The sequence below is a fragment of the Homo sapiens genome, chromosome 4 (genome assembly GCF_000001405.40).
Source record: "Homo sapiens chromosome 4, GRCh38.p14 Primary Assembly".
In the NCBI taxonomy this organism is placed as follows: domain Eukaryota; kingdom Metazoa; phylum Chordata; class Mammalia; order Primates; family Hominidae; genus Homo; species Homo sapiens.
Window position 1 is genome coordinate 113629436 of NC_000004.12, and position 16786 is coordinate 113646221.

At 38.7% G+C, this 16786-nt stretch overlaps 1 protein-coding gene across 53 annotated transcripts in view, besides 4 other annotated features; it reads right to left on the minus strand.

The window, feature by feature from the left end:
- CAMK2D (calcium/calmodulin dependent protein kinase II delta) overlaps window positions 1-16786 on the minus strand; it is a 310707-nt gene that overhangs the window by 178404 nt on the left and 115517 nt on the right. The window lies entirely within an intron of this gene.
- Window positions 14118-14412: a silencer, noted in NCBI's record as "tiled region #15168; HepG2 Repressive non-DNase unmatched - State 23:Low". NCBI's record gives its function as "represses a minimal TATA promoter and a strong SV40 promoter by Sharpr-MPRA in HepG2 cells {active_cell/tissue: HepG2}" and the evidence as "EXISTENCE:reporter gene assay evidence [ECO:0000049][PMID:27701403]".
- Window positions 16257-16761: an enhancer, noted in NCBI's record as "NANOG-H3K27ac hESC enhancer chr4:114566848-114567352 (GRCh37/hg19 assembly coordinates)". NCBI's record gives its function as "activates a minimal SCP1, AML or CMV promoter by ChIP-STARR-seq in naive H9 embryonic stem cells {active_cell/tissue: H9 hESC(naive)}" and the evidence as "EXISTENCE:reporter gene assay evidence [ECO:0000049][PMID:30033119]".
- Window positions 16518-16662: an enhancer, noted in NCBI's record as "145 bp enhancer 297 fragment used in the MPRA reporter construct; PK_construct_1420". NCBI's record gives its function as "activates an SV40 promoter by MPRA in K562 cells {active_cell/tissue: K562}" and the evidence as "EXISTENCE:reporter gene assay evidence [ECO:0000049][PMID:23512712]".
- Window positions 16585-16596: a transcriptional cis regulatory region, noted in NCBI's record as "FOXA motif; enhancer activity is reduced when this motif is scrambled". NCBI's record gives its function as "necessary for full MPRA enhancer 297 activity {active_cell/tissue: K562}" and the evidence as "EXISTENCE:site-directed mutagenesis evidence [ECO:0005528][PMID:23512712]".

Consider the following 16786-nt stretch of genomic DNA (forward strand, 5'->3'; position numbering starts at 1 on the left):
TTCAGTAAATATTACATTCCATACAGTGACTCAATGCATATATAAACAAATAATATATATACATACATAACTAAAACATAAGTTACAGAAAACAATACTTAATCTTACTACATGTAATATACTCTGACATTTAATGAAATTTATCTCACTATATTTAGTGGTCGTTAAAGGGTCATAATGCACAGTTTGAAAACATCTAGACAACAGTATTTGTTATACCTCTCTCAGTTTGGGGCCTCATGGCTAGTAGTGAATTGACTTAGCAGTGAAAAAAAATTTCATCTCAAGTTCCTTGGATGATAATATATATCAAACAAATTTACTCTTGTCAATTGGATTATGTTCTTGGTAAAAAAAAAAAAAAAATAGAAAGGGAGGAAAAACAAATTCTCCATTCTATTATTTTATTGTGATAGCTTTCAACTCTAACTTTGGGCAGACTTACATACAGGAAATGATGTATAATTCACAATGTTTAAAAAAAAAAACTCTCTTCAGTGGAGATTTAGGATATTGATTAAGAATGGCAATTTAATTTAGCAGTATGATGAATCAGGCTCATATAATCCAGAGACCAGGGAATTCAGACATAAATGCAACATTTTACTTAGGTTCACTTTTATCTTTCTTCCTATTCACATCTAATTCAAATCACTATACTACAATATCCATTTGTTAGGTAGCAAAAAATGAATGCGTAGTTATTTTCAATGAAGAGAACTGTTTATACAGAGTTGAATTGTTTGGGCATGGAGGACAAAGCATAAAATAGAATAGTTTTTAAAAATGCCTTGAGAAACATTATCAATGAATGTTTCCTTACACCTGATCAGAGGTTTTGCAAATGCATGTTTATGGCTAGTTTTCTACTTTGTTCATTCATTCATTCTCACTAAAATTAATGAATTATTAGACCTGGGGTTATGCGGTCTTTGAGAAAAATCACTTGCACATTTGTTCAGTCAGGGTTCTTAGGATTGTTGACTGCAAACACTTGGGTATACGCCATCAATTCTAAGAAATTTATTAAACCAATATTGAATAGCTTCCAGAATTGTTGGGAGGGCTCAGGAATAAGTTTCCAGAAAAAAAGTCCCAAGACTAAGCTTCAGAACTAGCCTGATGGAAAAACAGCTGCCGCTACATCTGCTGCAATTAATACCAATAATATATGTCAACTGCCAATGCCACCAGGACCAATGTCACTTTCATATCAAAAATTAAATATACTGCTGACTCCTCAAACCACAGCCCTCGACCACCACATTCACTGAGAAAAATGGAAAGTCTGTGCAAAATCTGCCTTCTGACACTGATGAATCCCCAAATGAAGTATGGCAAACATCTGTTAGATGGGACAAGTCTACAAGCCTAGTGACATGCCTGCACACTGGCTGCAAGAAAGACTAGAAATTTGACTTCTGACTTCTAAGTTGCTAAGACATAACTCAGAGTGTTGTAATTTCATGAATTTAGAAAGTCTACTCAAATACTGTGGATATGCCAATTGTCTAGCATATTAGCATTTTATGTAACATATCATGGATCACGACATATTAAAAAAATCAAATCTCAGAATTTCAGAAGTGACAGGGACTTCAGAAAACAATTACAATCCAGCCCCTCAGTTGTACTAATGGAGTCCAGGGGCTATCTATTCATTTAAACCAGAGCCACAAATTGGTATTCTAAAGTCTGTGATGGTCTTTTACATTAGGCCATTCAAAAATCACCTCTTCTTATCTCCTATCACTAGTGCTATTTGTGAGCAGAGAATGGTTCAGCTGAGATTGTAGACTGAATATGGTGGCTCATGCTTGTAATCCTAGCACCTTTGGAGGCCAAGGCAGGAGGACCACTTGAGCCCAGGAGCTTGAGACCAGCCTGGGCAACATGGCAAAACCTCGTCTCCATTTTTTAAAAATTAAAATAAAAAATAAAGCAAAGAAAATGTAGGGAATTATTATGTTGAAGGTGGTACATTGATAATTTTAAACATCACCCAGACAGGCTGCAGTTGACATTTCCAATATTCAATGAACATTCGCCCTTTAACTGTGAGAATCTGCTAGCTAGTGATTTTGTGAGTTATTGCCCATTAGATGTAGGGCTTCTGGAACACATCGGCTCCTCTCTACACACCAACATACAAAACAGCAAGTCATACGCCTCAGAAGGATGACCCAGACCAAAACCAAAATGTTAGCTGGGTAACTATTGTCGTTGGCATCTATTTGCTTTTCATTAGGTTGGAACTGAACTAGAGCTTCAGGGAGATCAATGAGCACAGGGTGCAGTGGTAAAAATGTGGCACCATAAACCTGCTTGCAATTAGCAACAGAACCTGAAAATTAATTCAGAAAGTAGATACACGTCAACACTAAGTGAAGAAACAAGTGTTCTGGATGATGAGCATGCTTTACTACTATGATGGTGAAAATAATGTGTCCTTATAGAGTTTACATACACTTGAAAGTTTTGAAGGAAAATGTAAGAGAATAGGGACTCCAATGATGAAATTGTAGATACAAGCCTGCTTTGGTTAGTTGAAACAGTATTATGTAGAATTGGGAAAATGATAGGCATATGTATTTATGATCCTCCCTCAGGAGCTTTGGCTTAAGAAGTTACAGGCTAACAATACTTGCTATCACTTATTATACAATCAAAGCCTATATGATGTGAATAGAGAGGTTCCTGATCTAAGTGGAAACATTCTCCAAATCCAAAACAATGAAATATCAAACTTCTCATAAATTCCCTCTCATTCTATATGTGTGTGTATTATCATTATTATTATTATTATTTGATATGGAGTTTCGCTCTTGTCCAGGCTGGAGTGCAATGGCACAATCTTGGCTCACTGCAACCTCTGTCTCCTGGGTTTAAGCGATTCTCCTGCCTCAGCCTCCCAAGTAGTTGGAATCGCAGGCATGCACCACCACTCCCAGCTAATTTTGTAATTTTAGTAGAAACAGGGTTTCATTATGTTGGTCAGGCTGGTCTCGAACTCCTGACCTCAGGTGATCCACCTGCCTCAGCCTCCCAAAGTGCTTGGATTACAGGTGTGAGCCACCACGCCCGGCCTGTGTGTGTGTATTATTTGATTGTGCTATTGCACTCCAGCCTGGGTGATACCCCATAGAGAGATACTCTGCCAGGCTGGAGTGCAGTAGCTCAGTTTAAAAAAAAAAAAGAAAAAAATCAAAGGAGGCAGAGAGAGCTAATAATATTCATATGACCTGTAAGTCATTGTCCTGTCATACTATTATACATAATGTAGCATAATATAGTCAGTAAATGTTACCCTGTTAAATCTTGGTTTCAAAGTCTATAGACACTGACAGGTGCTTTCAGGGAGAAACAGAACAGAATGTGAGGAGTTTCAGATCCAATACTTAGGTCCTTGTCAGCTTGAACTGAATCTCAAAGTACTAAAAAGCATCATAAAATAATGTTCAATGCATATTTCCCTAGGACTGAGAAATAATCTATTCCTAGGCATAAAGTCAGCCTTATGGTTTTCAAAAGGTAATTTGTTTTCTTAACTATCTGCTTCAAATGAAGGAATAGTTGTTTTGTTATCCAAAGGCAAAAGCCAAGATAATCTGGACATAAAGCTATAAAGTAAATTCTACTGAAGAATATATTAGAAAATTTGCAAGTAAATCAATACGAGGAAACTAAACGTAGGCATTAAAAGGCCTATATGTTGAGTCTTCATGGGCTGTGAGATTATCTATGTATACAAATAAATTTAAGAAAACATTATCTACCTATCCATTTATCTATCTCTGCCATTTTTATGCACAATAACCAAAAGGTAATTCCCACTGCAGGTAATTTTTGGTTATTTCCACTCAAAGGCTACCTCACCATGGAGTTACCACAATTCCTTGGTTTTCTTCAAAAAGGTATTAATATTTTCAAAGGACATGATTCAGGCAGCTTAATACAGAAAACAACGTCAATGCAGGAAAGAAAACAATAGCAACAAAGAGTGCAATAGGACACCAAGTCCAATACCAGCAGTCACTGCTCCAAATAATGTAATTTGTAAATCAATTAAAAGCTGCATTCATAGAGATCAGGCACTCATTCAGTTTACCAAACATAATCAAATTACACTTCCAGGGGGAATTAATGTCACAGTATATTTAGTCATTGCTACAACTGTCATTTCCAATAGGATAAATAAAATAATCCCAGGCCTCCATAGCTGTCACTGAGATAGTACAGAAGTGACTGTTGGCTCCACAAGCAGGATACCTGGCATGCAGTACCAGCTCAGCCACTTACTGGGTAACTGTGGGCAAAGTGCTTAGCATCTCTGCCTTCTTTCCCTCAATTTGTAAAAATGTACATAATATAATGTGCTAGCTGTGTCTGCTAAACAAGACAATCCATCAGAGGGTTGAGCATCATGCCTGGCACAGGATTTACATTTGATAAATCTTTAGTAGTTGTTATAATTTGAAGAATTAGGTTCAAAAACTTACAACCACACAATAGTTGGAAAAAGCAGCATTATTGTGCATGTTTTATTAAAAATATTTCTGGAGAATGTCTTTACTTGCTTTTAAAAGACTTTTGTCACCTTTGCTTTTAAAAGACTTTTGTGCTTTTTAGCACAAGTAGATGGCATAGTCCAATCTGTAGTACAGTCCCACAAAACACTGAAAATCATTTCCCAACCTTCCAGGCTGTTGTTCACAAAAGAGCAGCCTTCCAGGTTTCCCTGTTCCTTCTCCCCTATTCTGATCCTGTACAGCTGTCTATATTTTCATTTACACGTTGTAGGGAATAGACAGTTTTGAATCATTCATAGCCCTGTCCACTGCTAGGTTCTGACATATTTATTCAGGCTTGTCTGGGAAACTGGAAAAGGTATCGACTTTATGGAGAGAGAGACCTCTTAGGCAAGAATTCTTTCAAAGCAAAGACAGAATTGGGCAATTAATACTGACCCACCAATAAAATGAAGAGCATGGTATTTTATCTATTTCTTTGGTAGGGAGAGAAAAGTAGGTAAGAAAAATCCAGAATTTAATGAGGAGAGGGAAAAAGCATTATTGAGCATAAAAGGACACAGAGTCCAATGCTGGCAGTCACAGGTCCAAGGAATGACATTTGTAAATCAATTACAAGCTGCTTTCACAGAAATAAGATACTCATTCAGTGTCTGCTTCCCTCAAAATTGCATATGACATTGAGGTAGAATTAGCACTAGAGCGTTTTTGTTTCTACATATTAATTTGACATCTATTTCTTGGGCATTGATTCTGTGCCAGGAGACTTTATAGGTATTGGAGAATCAAAAGTAAATAAACAGTCATGAAACAAAACCTCATGGAACTTACATTACTATCTATCTGTGAATGCAGCCAAGGCATTCCCCCAAGATCTGTCTAGAATACAGAGGTACCAAGGACTTGAACTTATAGGATCTTTGGAAGCCTAGAAGGCCAGACTCTCTTTACCTAAAATATGCATTACCTAGCCTTGTAATTATCTTCACAAAATAGTACACCAGCTCAACCCTGAAATATCAGAGCAAGGCGGCAATGTAATTTTTGTCCTATGAGAGGTTATCAACAAAAATGAGGGGTTAGCAAGTCACTTGGTGTCATAGGCAAATATTTATATAAAGATATAATTGATTGCTAATGCTGTATGCGAAAGCACTTTTTGCTGGGTTTTTACAATCTGACCTATGAGAAAGAAATAATCAAAATCATTCTTTCCTTTGATAAGAACTTATACTTCCTCCTGGTAAACAGGGTGTCCAAGTGTGCACATATTTATGCCCAAGCATTTCTGAATGTAGCTTACAGCCTAAATCCAACATATATTGTGTGATATATTATAATAATTTGACCAGTTATTATTAAGAACACAAGCCAAGTTAAGGTCTTTTCAAGCTCTAAAATCCTACAATTTGTGTGGGAAATTGTACTGCAATTAATGGGCACTGTAATAGATCCTTTATATATAGAATTTCTAATCCTTATAACAATGTGAAGTAGTCTTATTTCCAGCTTTACAGACTTATTTTCAGAAAAAGGAAGGAAAAGGAGCTTATTTCTGCAAAAACAGTACAATGGAGTATCCAGGACTCAAATACAAGTCCATTGTACTTGAAAGCTGGTACTTTCAAACTAGTCCCTGGCCTTCACAAATATGTTAGTATGTTAAATACTTGTACTTAACCCTTACAAGAAAATACAGTGGGCATAATGTGAATTAGGGAGTGGACAAATATAATAGTGGAGAAAATAAATATTCCCTGCTTATGCTTTCTAGTTGGTGCCTTTTTTGGTTTTAATGGGTAATCTGCATTTATGGTATATTGATAAAATTTGTAGTTTATCTGTAAAGGTTGAGAATGACCAATGTAGAAAGGATATGTTTTAGCAAATGCAAGTGCATATTGGACTGATAGCCTGCTGACAGGAGCTGTACAGCTATGCCTGTGGTTAAAGCAGGCATCTGCTTTGATTGGTTGGTTCTCAAGTCATACTGGTTATCAAATATTTTAAATAACATTCCTGTTGCATGCTGTCAACTTCTGATTTTATATTCCCAACCCTGAACTCTCTACCAGATTTCAGACTCACATCCAATGACGTCTTTGGCATCTCCAACTCAGGAGTCTAATAGGTATTCTAAAATTAATGTGCCGGTAACAAATCCTTTCATCTTCCCATCACAACATTCTACCTCACTCCCAGCTGTGTCCACCTCCACTGAGACAACTCTATCCTCACAGTTTCTCTGGATTTATCCTTGACCTCTCTCTGTCCATAATAACTCATATCCAATCCACCAGTACATTCAGCTCTACTTTCAAAGCACATCCTGCATCTGACCACTGTGTTCTATTTCCATTGCTGCTACCTCAATTCAAGCCACCGATTACTCCAACTGTCTCCTAGCAGGTCTTCCAGCCTCTGCTTTGGCCCTTGCAGTCCTCTTGCAGCATAGCAGCCAGAGTGATCCTCTTCAACCAGAAGTCAGATCAGCTCACTCCTCTCTTCAGAACTTGCTGAAGCCCTCCTATCCTTAATAATCTACTCGGACTGCCATAACAAAACACCATTAGACTGGTGGCTTACACAACATATTTATTTCTCACAGTTCCGGAGGCTGGGAAGTCCAAGATCAAGGTACAGGCAAATTTGGTTTCAGATGAAGACCTGCTTCCTGGCTTGCAGATAGATGGCCCCCTTGTCACTGTGAACTCAAATAGTGGAGAGAGAGCTCTAGTCACTTCCTCTTCTTATAAAAACACTCACGCTATCAAGGAGGTCCCATCTTCATGATCTCCTCTAAATCTAATTACCTCTAAAGGGCCCTATCTCTAAATACCATCACATTGGGGATTTGAACTTCAACATATGAATTGGGGAGGTGGGCACAAACATTCAGTCCATAACAATCCCACTCAGATGGAAAGTAAAGGTCTTCACAATGACCTAGGGCCCCTGCCCTACTTCCAGTCCCCTCACTCCACACCACACTATGCTGCATGGCCTGCAAGCTGCTCCCATCCTTGCCAGATAAACCCCCATCTCACTACCCCTTAGAGGCTCCTCCCTCAGGTATCTGCAAGGCATGCTCCCTGACTTCCTTCCACACTTGGCCCACTTACCATAATCTGACCACAATCTGACCACAATATGACAGGCTTTTTTTATTTGTTTATTCACAGCCCCTGTTCCCAGAATAGAAGCAGTATAAGGGCAAAGAATTTTGTCAGCTTTGCTTATTGATGTATCACAGGTGTACAGAAGAGTACCTAACATGACAGATATTAAAAAAGATTTGCTAAATGGATGAATAAATGTATGAGGACAATTTTGTAGGACACGTGTAATTCTAAATATACAATGATTTTCCTACAATTCTCAAAATAGTTCTATATTCAAAATGGAACATATCCCCCAATGTTTCATTTTGTTTTTCAAAATAATGTAAAATAAAATATATCAAATGGAATAAGAAAGTTGAGTGAGTGAGTCTAAGAGGGAGTTAAAGTCCCATTAGCAAGTTTCATAAACTTGTGAGTCCTTATCTTTCCTCCTGTGGTTTCATTTGTATTTGGTTTCAGAAATTCTCATCGAGGAAGCTAAATGCAATCTTTTGTTTTGGTTTGGGCACATAATCAAAAATTTTTAGCTGCAAGAAAACAGTAATCCAACTATTCAGGGGGTTTCCTTGAAATCTGTCCCTTAGAGATTTACTGTGGTATAAACTTGGATGTAAATTTCTATAAAATATCTACCTAGGAAGATATAATCTGAACTTTTTTCCTAGAAACTATAAAAGTACACATTTTTTTTTAATCCATAGGTTGGTTCCCAGGCCTCTACCATGCAGAGATAGGCTGCCTGGACATACCAGAGTTGAAATGTTTTTGAAATAATAATAAATACTAAATAATAATAAATACTAAATCTTTATACAGTTTCCAGGATTTGACACCAGTTTGTGGACCAAAAGCAAGAAAGAATAGCAGCCTTGTCCAAGCCCATCCTTAACCAAACATATAGCTCTCCATCCTCCTTCTCCCAAATATGGTATTACACATCCACTCATCTCTTAGTGCCTTCCAATTTGTAGCTTCAGAGCTGGCTCCCCTGATCACTCCTCTAATTTCTGAATCCTTTCTGAAGCTAAGAGCTAACAGTGCACTCAAATAATTCTGTGCATTTACCCATGCATAATATGAAGAAGCTAATTCAAGTGAAGAAAAGGGAAGGCTGACTGAGGTTAAAAACAATGGAGCTTGAACAGGAACACAGAAACAGCTCTGACTAGAAAGACAGGTGTGTGTGTGTATGTGTGTGTGTGTCAGAGACAGAAGGATAGAGACAGAGAGAGAGAAAATTTGAGAGTGGGAACCACAGAGCACAAGAAGAAAAATGAGATAGAGGTTTGGAGAATATGAGCCTGCGAACAATGAGAGAGGTAGGAGAAAGTATATTATTTTCTTTTCTGAGGTGTGATTCCCATAGAGAATATCTCCCTTGGGGGTAGGTTAGATACCTACGAGATGCAAAACACAATGTGCTCTCAGTTCTGCCAGGTACATATTTAAGAGAACAGTTTGGAGTTAAAGGTAGAATGCAGTTGGACCACTTTATAACCTTAGCAAAGCGGGGTTTAAGAAAATAATAGAGGAATTTCACTCTCAGCAAACAGGGACCTGTTTCGGTAATGCGAACTCATTAGGGCTATGCTCCTACTCAGCTTTTGTGCAAGCAACTCTAGATAAAGTGCTACTCAAATATCCCCCAAATCTGTCACCAACTTAATTCAGACACCAGAAAAAAACAAAAACTTAGAGAAACAGAGGTAGTCCAAAGACATGTTAGGGAGACAATTGTGGTAAGGTGGAATTTCTCATGTGAATTTAAAAGTTTATTTAAAAGTGAATGTAAAAATCTACTTCCTCCTCTTCCCAGGCAGCTAATAACCTAGCTTTATTGTTAATCAGAAAAAAATAATAAATATAAAAATGTAGGTTTGGCACGGTGGTTCACGCCTGTAATCCCAGCACTTTGGGAGGCCAAGGTGGGAAGATCACCTGAGGCCTGGAATTCGAGACCAGCCTGGGCAACATAGCGAAACTTTGCCTCTACCAAAAAAAAAAAAAAAATAGCCCGGTGTGGTGGTGTGCACCTGTAGCCCCAGCTTCTCAGGAGGCTGAGGGAGGACTGCTTGAGCCCATGAATTTGAGGCTACACTGAGCTATGATCTCTTCACTGCACTCCAGCCTGGGCAATAGAGAAAAATCCTGTCTCTTAAGGACAAAAATAAAAAGAAGGAAAAAGAAAAAAAATGCATAGTAAATTGTGAAAGCAGTGGATATGAATAGGCAAGATTATTATACCATACTCTGTGCTGGATCTAATGACAATTTGTTTGCTAGGCCCTGAAGATAAAAAGTGAATGAGGTCCCTAAGGCCAAATGGCTTTTTGTGGGGGGAATAAGGATATGTAAATAAGTAATGTGGTACCAGAGCCACTACTAGCCTGCATAGGGCCACTGTGCAAATCAGAAAAAGGAAGCCCTGCACCAGCGCTGACTCACTCCTTCAGCCAGGCACCTTTGTACACTACAACACCCACCCTAGAATACCAATTAGGGGCATCAGGGAAGGCTGGGGGGTGATGCCAAAGATGAGGCCTAAACAGAAAGGAGGAGTTCAGCCAGACAAAGTGGGAGGGAGAAGAAGAGCGTCTCCCACCAAGAGAATGTAAGTGGAAAAGTACCAAGAGAAGATGGAAAAATAAGAAATTACAGTTTTGGGGAGGGAGTCTGTATGGCTGGAGAGTAGCAAACAAATAGGGGAACTCAAAATATAAAGGACTTTGCAATGTCAGGATTTTAGAATTTAGCCTGATAAATTAGGGAGCCATGGGAGGATTTTGAGGAGAGTGACAGATCCGAGTTGCATTTTTAAAAAACCCCATTCTTCATAGCAAAGGGAAGAATTCAGAAGAGGGAAGGCTTATTAAAGCATGTGGGTTAGGGGGAGGGGATAGATTTAAAAGCCACTGAGAAAGTTGAAGGGAGAACTGCTAAGTGCTTATATAAGTTGGCAAGGGAAGGAGAGGTAGAGAGGATGACACCAGATTTCTAGCTTGGGCAAGGCTTATAGCAGGGAACACAAGCAGAGAAGCAGGTCTGGGTGGGAGCTGAGTGGGGCAAGGGTGGAAAACAAGTTCCATTTTATGCACAGTATGATTACCAAAGTACCAGAATAGCATCCAAGTGAATATTCCACTAGCTAGTAGGAAACGTGTCTGGAGAGAAACGTTAAAACCTCTAAAATAGATTTGGGAGTTACTAATATATGAATGAAATGCCCTGCGTAGATTTAAGAGGTAGGCAGAAGGGGAATTCACGAAGGAGATTAGGAATGAATGGTTGGAGATAAAGAAGAAATCTAGAAAATACTTATGTTACAAAAGCCAAAGGAGGTAACTCATATGGTTTCCTGGGCCATATTGTTTCCTTACGTACAAGACAGACTCAATCCCCATCCTCAGAGAGCTTACTATCTATCAGAAAAGTTAGATGATTAGGTAAATAGTCCTAACAAAACCTAATCAGTATTGTAATGGGGAAGGTATGGAGCATTCAACTATAGAGAGACATCAAGTAAGACCAGAACAAGAAGGTTCCACTGGACTTAGTAATAAGGAGGTGGTGATAATCACTATGAGAGCAATTTCTTAGGAACACATAGAAGAAGCCTGAAAGCAGACGCTTAGAAAATAAATGTGCATTAAGGAAATGACAATAGAGTGCTTCTCTTTCAGAAACTGTTCAACAAGAAAGGAATGAGGGGAAAATTACTTACATAGCTAATTGTCTGTTGACAACTTTTATAAGGTAGAAGGATAATTACCTGGCATCATCCATAGACAGACTCATTTTAACTTTCATAATTTGGAGACAACATTGTTCCTTCCTTTCTAAATCTTATCCTTTCAGATTCTTAAATGTGTTCAATGCTCTGTAGAAAACATTCCACAGACAATATGAGCCTCTCTCTTTATATCTCTAATTTGGGCACTTAATTACATGCTTCTTTGAACTGCTGAGTATTTTCATGTGTAAATGTCCTAACTTCTCTTACAGGAAGAAAGCCCCTTACAAGTCAACAGTGTTTGGTATCATGTTGTTCACCTTCTAGTGCTTTATTTAAATAAAAAGTAATACAGCTGCACAGAGAGCTTTCACAGCTTTGAGCAGATGAGGAAGTGAAGAACAGAAGGCTTGTAGAGTAGAAACATGAACTTTGGAATCAAACAAATGTATTTGAATCCTGGTTCCACCCTTCATAAACTAAGCAACCCCAGTCAAATTAATATATCTATTTGAGACTGAACTTTTTCACTGTACAGAGCACATAGTAAAGGCTCGATATTTACTGAACTAAATTAAAAACACTTGATATAATATTTATATCTGCAGAGTAGTTGAGAAAATTAAATAAGATAATTATGTTAAGTGTTTAGATACAATATGTTTCAGATTGACACTATCTAAGGATCTTTCTTTCTTGCAGATTTCATTCTCTAGACCTGTTACGAAAGTGATAAAGAGGACAGGGAGCCTAGAGAGCTACAGAGTTTAATAGAAAGTTCCTGGCTCAAAGCTTTACTGGGAATTTAGTTTTCTAAAACATTATCACTAGCACAACGTTTTTTATAAATTGTGGCTTTGAAAACCTGTATCACAATCACCTGGGTGCTTGATTTAAAAAATAATAAGTTGCCGGGCATGGTGGCTCATGCCTGTAATCCCAGCACTTTAGGAGGCCGAGGTGGGTGGATCATCTGAGGTCGGGAGTTCAAGACCAGCCTGACCAACATGGAGAAACCCCGTGTCTCTACCAAAAATACAAAATTAGCCAGGCATGGTGGCACATTCCTGTAATCCCAGCTACTCAGGAAGGCTGAGGCAGGAGAATCACTTGAACCCGGGAGGTGGAGGTTGCGGTGAGTCAAGATCATGCCACTGCACTCCAGCCTGGGCAACAAGAGCGAAACTCAGTCTAAAAAAATTTAAAAATAATAAAAAATAATAAACAATAAATAAATAAAACAAGCAAACAAAAAATTAAAAAGTGGTAGATTCCTAGAGCCCGCTCCAGATCAATTTGTAATGCTGAAGCTCAAGAATCTGCCATTTTATCAAGGGAATCTAACATATAAGAATGCTTCAGAACCACCCTCTAAAAGTCAAACTCACCCCAAATGTATTTTGCCAGTTACTGTGCTCCAAAAACAGGAAACAAGATTAGTTTTCAGACTTCCCTGGATATAGGAATTATTTATTATGATTTCCATTCAGGATGGGCTCTGCAGAGTCATTTCTATCTCAAGGAAGCTATAAGTTATAATCTTAGTAAAGTGAAAAATTGAGGGACAGGTAGGAGGATTCCAGAACTACTCCCTTCCAGGGTTGGAGAAAATCAAGGCATATCTGAACACTACCAGAATGTCCACTCACCTCCATTCCCTGTCTCCCACATTCCTCACACATACAAGTGTCATCAGAAGTGGACAGATGGACATGCTAAGGCTGAATTAAACCCAAACTGATACCAACTTAGCAGCGGAGTGAAGCTATTTATCCCTCCTCCCTTTTTTGGGCAACAATAGCCATCTAGGCTAAAGGCTTATTTTCTTTTCCATAAAGAGATGGCAAAAGCATACTTCTCCTCTGATAAGGCTGTCTGTGGAAGCTGGTTAGAACAAGGGACATTCTTTTTTTCTTTTTCTTTTTTTTTTTTCAAGATGGAGTCGCGCTCTGCTAGAAAGGCACCAACTGCCCACCAGGGCAAGGGCAAAGCCTTCATGATCCAAAGCCTCCCATTAGGCCCCCTCTCATACAGTTTCTACCCTACACCTTGCTGCACTGGAAATTATGGTTGCAATAAGAGTTTGGGCAGGGTCAAGTTACATCCAAACCATAGCAGAGACCATGCTAAACTATATCTATAAAATAAAAGAAAGATACTACAATTTAAAATGAAAAGCTAGAAAAAGGGAACATCTGAACAGTATTACCAAATCATTTACAAATAGATATGTAACAAAAGAAGAGCAGAAACTATCTGTGTCCTATAAATCAAGATTAGAAATTAAACAATCAAAATACCAAATGTTTTAATCCACAAAACTGAAAGTCTTTCCTGGAAGACAAGTGACATTACATTTCTTCAATCTATATTCATTCAAATATATGCTAAAAGTATTATATTTCAATAGAAAGGGATAATTCTGTCTTCCAAGATATAAGATACAAACATGATAAAAAAGTTTTTAAAAAAAGTCCAACAAGGGCAGAAGCACTAGTGTAGAGAGTTGGGAGGATAAAAGGGCAAAGCCAGAGGCAAGTATGATAGGTTCAGATCAGAAACAGGGCTGTCTATGAAGTCATACCTGGGTGCTCATGCACCCAAATTTAAAGTGTGTAGAACAAATAGTCCAGGGCCCAATAAAAGCAAGTCAAAAAACAAGAGCTAAGCCAGCTGTATCAATCACCAGTCATAAGAACAGGGTCCGGACTGTGTTCATCATTTTTGGAGGTCAGGGAATTCTGATAAGCTGCTGACAGAAAGTAAGAATTGTTCTCTATTTTGGCAGCTCACAGTCTACATCTATGTACAAAAGTAAGTGAATGAGAGTAGGTCAGTATCTCCCACGCTTAGCAGCGGAAACCATCAGACTTTCCTCCCACCGACCATCTTGATAATCTGCTGGATTTGGCTCTTTGCCTTGATTCCAAGTGCTTATTTCCCTTTCCAGGGGAAATTTAAATTATATCTGATAAGGGCCAACAAGTTCAGAGTTGTATCACCCTCTCTGAGTAATATCAGACTACTCCTCAGTGTCATGTTAAACTCAAATTAAACTGGACAGAGTATTTATGGGGACCCAGGCCAGCTTTACAAGTGAAAAATAGGCCCAAAGAATAAAGTAATTCTCTTCATGAGATATTTGCAAATCAAGGTGAATACAATATGCTTTTCTGTACTCTGAAAAATGGTCTTATATTACATCAAATTATGTCATTCTAGTTTATACCTATTATTGTCAGAAGAAGTTTGTGTAATTAAGAAAGGCAAGCTCACAACTGAAGTGATTCTAACTTTGACTTCATAAGACGTGCAGACCCTGGTATACTCAGGGTGTTTTGAGAAAGATGGGGAAACAGATGGGTTCAAAAAGAAAAAGACCTCAATAAAATCAGAAGAAACAGAAAAAATAATATCTTGTCAGATTCTTGGCTTAGATGGTTACAAATCTGCCAAATGAAGACAAAGCTGACCTATATCATAAATGGGACAAAAGTTTAAAAGTAAGAGCAAAAGTCAGGAGTCAAAATTATTCTAGAAGCAGCACTTGTGTGTAAATTCAAAGGTAATCTGAAATAGATCATCAGTTCCCAAGGAAAATGAATAAAGGGAAGCCTTGAGTAGTCTCAGCTTAAGTCTAAAATTCATAGGTTACCTAGGTGTGGTGGTTGGCAGATGAAGGCACCAAGAGGTAGGCAGCTATTATCCAGAGCTTTATCATGAGGCAAGAAATCTAGTCAATGGGCAACCGAGAAGGTAGGTAACAATAAGACCAACAGCAAGACTGAAACAAAACCAAGCAACAGGTGTAAGGCTTTTTGTATCACATTAGACCTAGAATTGAGAGCTGAGCTAAACCAGAAATCAGAGTTGAAATGACACTATCTTCCAGAATTAGAGAAACTCAGAAGTGGGAAGCAAAGCAGATCATCACTGCACCCAGATATTTTAGCTTCTCCCTTCTAGGATTCAGAATCTACAAAGTGGCCGGGAGACACAAATAAAGCTATTTGTCAGATCCAAGAAAAAAAAGCATTAGGGAGTTCAGCAGACCTCCAAGGTCCAAGTAATCCACAAAGATGAAGTCATCTCACTGTAGAGCAGGGGTCAGGAAACTATAGCTCAATTGCCAAATTCAGCTCACCACCTATTTTTGAACAGCCTGTACTGAGAATTTTTTGTTGTTGTTGTTGTTTTTTGTTTTTGTTTTTGTTTTTTGAGACGGACTCTCGCTCTGTCGCCCAGGCTGGAGTGAAGCGGCACAATCTCGGCTCACTACAAGCTCCACCTCCCGGGTTCACGCCATTCTCCTGCCTTAGCCTCCTGAGTAGCTGGGACTACAGGCGCCCGCCACCACGCCCAGCTAATTTTTTGCATTTTTAGTAGAGACAGGGTTTCACCATGTTAGCCAGGATGGTCTCGATCTCCTGACCTCATGATCCGCCCGCCTCAGCCTCCAAAAGTGCTGGGATTTTAGGCATGAGCCACCATGCCCGGCCTGAATGTTTTTTACATCTTGAGATGGATTAAATGAAATTCAGATTTTAGTGTCCATAAGTAAAGGTTTATTGGAACATAGCCATACCTATTCATTTATGAAGTTTCTGTGGCTGTTTTTGTGCTACAATGACAAAGAGGTAGCACTGCCAGCACAGCCCAAAATATTTACTATTGGGTGCTTTACAGAAAAGTTTGTCAATCCTTGTTCCAGGACAGAGCTCCCAAGTGACAGTGAGAGATAACCAACCTTTCTCTTTCTTTCCTGACTACTGTAGTTTGATAACTTCATTTGAAAAGCAGCTTTTTGCTTGGAAGGGTAGAGTAGTCAAATAAAGGGCTACCCTAGAATAAGGTTTATCCAACCTTATCTGAAAGGCTAGGTAATCCAGCAAGGAGAAAAAAAAAAATCCATGACATTTATTGATAGTGCTGTTCTGCTTTCTGGAGTATCATCAAAATGCTCCCGAGGAAGGTAAGGAAGCAGCTAGCAGTTTTAGGTGTCTGCCACATAAAAGAGACCATGAGCCCCTCACACTCCTGACAAAGATGATTCAAATGCTGCAGGGTGTATGAGAAACACATCAAAGATCACCAAAAGGGTCTGGGCCAAGATTCCAGCCAGCAGAATAGGAATTTCAGAATACGATAAGGAGATGTTAAGGAAGGTCAGGCAGTAAAAAGAGGTTTGCTGACTCATGTGGTTTGTTGACTTAGCAAGTCAGGGAGAAGTCAATTGTTTGCTCTCCTGTTTTACAGTCTTTAGGTGTGGGCCAGCCCAGGGCCATTGATAGTCATTTTAGCCAGAAGGAAAGCAAAAGCCTGCAGATGAACTTAAACAAAACAGCTGTGCCATAAGTTAAAATTTATGCTTTTCTCTTAATAGAAGTGTTTGTTCCTCTTCAGAT